Source organism: Homo sapiens, chromosome 15, assembly GCF_000001405.40.
Source record: "Homo sapiens chromosome 15, GRCh38.p14 Primary Assembly".
In the NCBI taxonomy this organism is placed as follows: domain Eukaryota; kingdom Metazoa; phylum Chordata; class Mammalia; order Primates; family Hominidae; genus Homo; species Homo sapiens.
This window is the reverse complement of record NC_000015.10, coordinates 73952361-73958828: the sequence shown is the minus strand read 5'-3', so window position 1 is coordinate 73958828 and position 6468 is coordinate 73952361. Positions and strand designations below refer to the sequence as shown.

The following is a 6468-nucleotide window of genomic DNA, read 5'->3' as shown; positions in this document are numbered from 1 at the left end:
TCTGTGGTAATTGGTCTTTTTGTGCTTTTCACTCGAGTCAATTTTGGCAATTTAGAAATACTAGAAAATTATTATTTAATGTTGGGACACTCCAATTTATAAGCATGCACTAGTTTCTTCAATTTCAAAAGTCATCTCCATGGCTGTGTTCTTATCCCTTCTAATCCCATATTTTTCTATTAATATTTTGTTGACTAGCCGATGATTTATTTATTTATTTTTGAGACAGGGCTTCACTCTGTTGCCCAGGCTGGAGTACGGCAGCACAATCTCAACTCACTGCAACCTCCACTTCCTGAGCTCAAGCAATCCTCCCACCTCAGCCTCCCAGATAGCTGAGACTATAGGCGTGCACCACCAAGCCCCGCTAATTTTTGTGTATTTTGTAGAGACAGGGTTTCACCATGTTTCCCAGGCTGATCTCAGACTCCTGGGCTCAAACGATCCACCCACCTCAGGCTCCCAAAGTGCTGAGATTACAGGCATGAGCCACGGCACCCAGCCAGTTTATCTATTGTAATTTGCCCTCTCTCTCACCCATAAAGAACAATCTAAGTCTGAATTACACTACCACACTACTTCTAGGAGGAATTAGGCTTCTCACCAATCCTTTTCAAGCTGCGGTTTCCAGGAGCCACACATGATTCTAGAGGACTCGTGGAGGAAGGAGATGATGGGATGGTTTGAACAGTGTTCTTGCCATGTTTCAGAGCACAGACCTATGGCTTCTTTCCTGGTCCCACATGCCTTTGAGGATCTGGAGGAACCTATGCCCTGTCTCCAGAAATGTGCCTGTGTTGGAATTCTGGCTCTCCCATTCACTAGCTGACGGAACTAGGGCAAGTCACATGACTTCTCTGTGCCTCAGTTTGTCCATCTACAAAATGGGAATGACAGTGTCTCCCTCATAGAGTTCTTGTGAGGATTAAATGGGCTTAACCTTTGTAGAGCATTTAGAGCAGGGCCTGGCCCATGGCTAAGTGTTGAAGAAATTAGTGAGTGTCACTAATATTATTGGCATTCCCCTGCTAGGTCTTTTCCTCTTTCTCATTCCTAGGAGGTACTTGTGACTCCTCATCTTAAGGGCCAGAATCCAAAGCTGATTCCTTGAACCAAGGCACATGGCAGGGATGATGGAAGGTTGCCCCAGAGAGGAAGAGGAAAAGAGTGAGTAGTTAGAAGGGAGTGAAGACAGGCCGAGGAAAGAGGCTGGGAGAGTTCCCTGGGCTGGGGAGGTGGTGGCTATGGTTGTGGTGGTGGCTCTGGCTCTGCTAGTAACGAGGACAGTGCCTCCTGGCAGTGCCCTGGGGAGGTGGCGAACCTCGAGGGACATGGCTGCCCATGTGCCCAAGCTTTGCAGGAAGTGGAGACACCGCCCCTGGAGGAGAGTGAATCAGCCAGGGAGCGGTGACCAGGAGGACTAAAGACCACAGGACTCCTCTCTGAAGTTCTGAAGTTCAAGGTGTCTAGGGTGGGAGTAAATGATTCAGGACTTTGACTTTCCCACCTGGTAGCCAGGGGGCTCAACGCATATTAAACGTGATTTTGAAAAAGTTTTTTTTAAAGCTATTTCACATAAAAGGAGACCAGAATCCTTACCTGCTTCCTCTGCCTTCCATATGTTGAGTTTTGTCGTTAAAGCTTTTCCAGGACTTTGCCATCCTTCTCAGAAAAGCTCAGCTGCAACTTTCAGGGTGGTGTGTGTCACAGGCACCCTTGGGTCCCAGCATCTGGCTGCTCTCCTGACCCTTATGCATGGGCTTTAGCGAGGTTCCTGGGTGTGGTCAGTGCCTCTCATTCTCTCTGGCCAGCTGGTGCCAACCCTGGCCAGGTCTGCCCACGGGCACCGCCTGCATGACTCAGTCTGGGGGATGCGAGGGGAAGTTGCAGGGAGGTGTGCAGTTGCTTTCCAACAATGCTGTGGTTGTGGTGTGGATCCGGACGCAGCCGTGGTGAGGAATGGCTGGGGAGGGCCCATCCGTATGAGTAGCCGGCAGGGACTCAGTGCCTGGACATTCAAGGGGGTGTGGTCTCTCTTGCCTTGACCACAAATGGGTGGAGAGCCTGGCAGGAGCTGGGAAATGGGCCCCCTAACCAAGGCTGGAGTAAGTAGGGAAAGCGGTAATCCCCCCCACCCAAGGAGGTGCTGATGGAGCCCTGGCCAATGCCAGCAGCCTCAGGGGGCATCAGAAGGAGCCTTGGCTTGTGGGCCAGCGTGGGGTGCGCGGAGTCAGGCTCAGAGGCCTCCAGTGCAGAGAGGAGGCTCAGGTGGGGTAAGGAGTTGGGGCCCAGGCTCCAGCTCTCTTCAGGGTTAAATGCTGGAAGCTCTGTTTTCAAGGATCTGTAAATATCCTTACGAGCCCTCCACCCCTAGCCGAGCAGTCTATTAAAGGGCTCTCTTCTGAGTCATTTTTTTTGAGGATGAAGAAGCTCTTCATCTAAAAGTGAGACAGGACATGGGACCAGCGCCACCATTCTCACGTTGGTTATCAGGTGCTTCCCTAACACAGGCCCTGCCAACTTCTCAAAACAGGTGGGATTCTAGTGGAAGGAGAGGAAACAGAATGGGTGGGATTTTAGCCTGGGCCCTCCCTGCAGGGGGCTGCTGCCCTGGGTGGGAGCGCACAGTGTAATGCACAGGGGGTGTGGGCATCTGAGGTGCAGGGGGAGGGAGAAGGTCAAGGCTGTGGCCAAGATGGTAGGCCGCAGAGGGGTCAGGTCTGGGCTGGCTTTCAGAGCCCACCCCGCCCTGCCAAGGGCCCAGGGCACCTCTGTCTCTATTAGCAGGCCCTTCCAAGGGTTTCAGGCCAGCCCTGGTTTGAGGTCCAGTACCCCCACTTCAGGCCTCTCTCTGTGGCATCCTCCAAGCCAGATAACGCCCCAGCCCTCACCAGGCTGCAGCCCTAGCAGTGCCTCTGCTGGCTCCCTGCTCCCCTTCTGAGGCAGTCCCCCTGCTGCTTGCCCACCTTCCCCCAGGCTGGACTTTGCCTATCACTCCCTACCCAGCCTCCTTCTACCTCCCATTTCCTCCCCTCCCTCTCTTCTCTTCCCCTGCCCCTTCTTCTCTGCCAGGTAAGGACTAGCAAGACACTCAGCCCCCTCAGGACAGATAGGGAGACTGAGGCCCACTGAAGGACAGAGTCAGGGCCACAGCTGTGCCCCCTGCCAGGTGTCGCCTCTGCTGTCTCTGTCCTTCCTGCTGTCCAGTCACATCCACCAGAGTCATTTACTTAGTAGACCCCGAGGACCAGCCCAAGGGAAGGCTGCGGGGCAGGGGGTGGGGGTCTGTTTCACCTCAAGGTGTTTCTAACAGCAAATGTCTCGAGAAGCAGTGAGCTCCCCAGCCCTGGGGCTGAGCAAGAAGAGGACAGGGAGGGATGCTGGGCAGGTGACTTGAGGCCCTTACAGCCCAGGTGGATTCCTGCACACCAGTGCCCAGTGTACCAGCAGAGACCCTCTTGGTCTGTGCAGCCCAGAAGGAGGTGCTGGGTCAGGAGTGAAGATGGCACCTATGGTTTTTTTGTTGTTGTTGTTTTGCTTTTCTTTTTTTTTTTTTTTTGAGGTAGAGTCTTACTCTATCGCCCAGGCTGGAGTGCAGTGGCACAATCTTGGCTCACTGCAACCTTCGCCTCCTGGGTTCAAGCGATTCTCCTGCCTCAGCCTCCCGAATAGCTGGGATTACAGGCGCGTGCCACCATGCCTGGCTAATTTTTGTATTTTTAGCAGAGATGGGGTTTTGCCGTGTTGGCCAGTTGGTCTCGAACTCCTGACCCCAAGTGATCTGCCCGCCTCGACCTCCCACAGCGCTGGAATTACAGGCGTGAGCCACTGCACCTGGCTGAGATGGCACCTATGTAACCTTTGTCCAGCATGCAAGGCTCGGGTGCCTCCTCCCATGCCCCTGTGTGTCCGTGGCAGGGTGGGGGTGGGAGAGTCCTGAATGAGGCCACACAGTGCACCCCAGTTGAAGGGGAGAGGGGATGGTTAAGGAAGGCTTCGAGAAATCGGGGTTTCAGCTGGCCTTGAAGGGGCAAACGGAAGGGTGAAGGGACCAGTGGGCCTGAGTCCCTGCGTCACGTGACCTGGCCTCCAGTGGGCCTCACACACCCCTCCCTGGGCCTGGCTTGGTGGGGTGAGCCCAACAGGTGAGCTCTATCTAGGGAGGGGCCCGAGCCAGGTGACAGCAAGAACAAGGAACAAGCAGGCTGTTCCTCCATGCAGTGACAGCCAGACAGACCTCAAGAGGCTGAGGCCGAGCTGGGAGAGCACTCCTCTCCCAGCCGCCCTCCTCAGCTCAGCGCCTGCTGGGCCCCTGCCGTCTTGACAGTTTTTCTCTCCCCATTCTCAGGGAGACTCTGCCATTCTACATGGAGTCAAAATACCTGAGGAAACCCTGCCCCCTGAGGTGGGAGCAGCTGCATCTCCTTTCCCGAGGGGCCGTCACTGCTGGGCAGTGCCGTGAAGCTGCACTGATAGGGCCCTGACAGGTCAGCCAGGAAGCGGTGAGGGCTGCCCTGGTCCCTGCGCGTCACGGCTGTCTTCTCTCTTCTCTCTCTATCTCTCTTCTCCTTTGGGTGAAAGCCTCCTCTGCTTTTTGGGGGGCAAAGGGGTATCTGAAGCCCCTCCCCAGAGATCTAATCTCAGAGTCCTCCCAGCATGTGAGGACTGGCCCAGGTGTCCTCACTCTGATGGCAGGCTTGGGGACATCCACCAGCCCCCCTAGAATCTGAACTTCAGGCCAAAGGTTCATGGGCACGCGGGAGCACTGTGTCTGGGAGTCTCCTTGTGTGCTCCCCACCTCCCCACACTTTGTGATGTGTGGGCTTTTTGGAAAAGCCACCCTTACTCTCTCCTTCCATCCAATTCTGTGTTCAGGGCCATAGCTCATCTGCTGAGGGTACAGATCTCCCCAGAAAACTGCACACACCCGGCATTTGGCCCTGGCCTAGGGCTTAGAGACGTGAGCTCCAGCACTGTGTCTGCCTTGAACTTGCCTGTGGTCTCAGACAGGCTTCAGTTTTCTGACCTGAGAAATGGGGGCTTTTGTCTCTACCTCATACGGGCCTCCTGACAGTCTGGAATTGGTTGACCTTGTCTGACCCCCTCCCAAGCTCACTCCTGGGAGTATCTAGGAAGGAGAGGGGGTGGGGCTGCAATAAGGACAGCATCTTGGGAAGCACACACCGGCAGGGGATGCAGCAGAATGGCAGCCCTGGATGACAGGCATGTGCCTGTACTCCTCTCACCCGTCCTGGTCCAGCTCCAGAGGGAGAGTGGCAGAGCTGCGGCACCTACCCTGTCAGCAGAGTTAAATCCCAGCCAGACCTGCAGAGGAAGGGCCGAGGGAGGGCTGCAGCCACACCCACTCCACCCTGCTGCCTGGGCTGGTGAGTGGCCCAAGGGCTCCAGGGGACTGGGCCAGAACCCTCCTGGATGCATAGCATGGCTCCAAGAAGCCCTCCCTCTCTACTGCACCAGAAAACCTCCTTGCTACCAGGGACCCTGAGGCAAGGATCGCATCAGAGCCAAAAGCAGGGGACACCTTCTTGGAGGACCTCTGCAAATGGGCTGGGGCTCACCAAGATCTGGAGGGGTGGGTGCTGACACCCTGTAGCTCCCCCGGCACCTCCCCTGCAGCAGTAGCTCATCAACTCTCCATGTCAGTGTGGGAGCCAGGCAGGAGGGCATTCCCATCTTACTCATGAGGAAACTGAGGCCCGGAGATGAAGTCTGACTTGCCCACAGTCACACAGCAGTGAGCAGGATTGGCCCTGGAACCCAGAGCCCTGGTACTTGGACAAAGTCTCTTTCCCTTTCTCACTGGTGTTGCCCCCACAGGGAAGCAGGTGGGTCTGGAGGCATCCCGAGGGCTCGTTGTTCAGGGCCTCGAGGAGGAGAGGCACCACCCTCTCACTTCTTCCTGGTCCATTCCAGTGTCCAGGACCTCTGGGATGCCACAGCCAGGGCAGGGGACGGGGGCTGCAGGGCTGCGGGGCCTCCCTCCATCTCCCACTCACACCCTGTCGGCCTGCAGCCCCACCTCATGATCTCTGCTCAATGCTGTCTCTCTGCCAAGAATCCTCTTCTCCCCTCCCTGCCTGGAAGGAGGCTCTCTCCCATGTGAAGGCTCCCCAGAACCCCTAGGTGCTGCCTCACTGGGCAACGCGTGCTCCCCGTTCCCTGTGGTTATGCGCTCCCTGAGGGCAGAAGCTACGATGCTCCTGCGTGTGCCCTAGCACAGCACCTGGCCTTCAGGAGACTTGAGTTCGGGAGCCTGCAATTGTAAGGGAGTGGGTGGCTGGTGGAGAGTGAACGGTGTGAGAGTGAGAGGGCCAGGAGGGGGACCGGTGGGAGTGTGAGGCTGAAGGCTGAGAAGGGGCAGCAGTGGGCACACGAGCCCAGATAGGAGCAGGGGCTGAGCAGGGAGAGCAGGCTGGTGCCGCCCACCCCGCTGCAGGGCCCTCCCCT

General features: G+C 56.3%; 2 annotated features.

The window, feature by feature from the left end:
* Positions 890-2089: an enhancer, noted in NCBI's record as "CDK7 strongly-dependent group 2 enhancer chr15:74249081-74250280 (GRCh37/hg19 assembly coordinates)". NCBI's record gives its function as "activates an origin of replication core promoter dependent on BRD2, BRD4, P300/CBP, MED14 and CDK7 cofactors, with strong dependence on CDK7, by STARR-seq in HCT116 cells {active_cell/tissue: HCT116}" and the evidence as "EXISTENCE:reporter gene assay evidence [ECO:0000049][PMID:35650434]".
* Positions 5615-6298: an enhancer, noted in NCBI's record as "H3K4me1 hESC enhancer chr15:74244872-74245555 (GRCh37/hg19 assembly coordinates)". NCBI's record gives its function as "activates a minimal SCP1, AML or CMV promoter by ChIP-STARR-seq in primed H9 embryonic stem cells {active_cell/tissue: H9 hESC(primed)}" and the evidence as "EXISTENCE:reporter gene assay evidence [ECO:0000049][PMID:30033119]".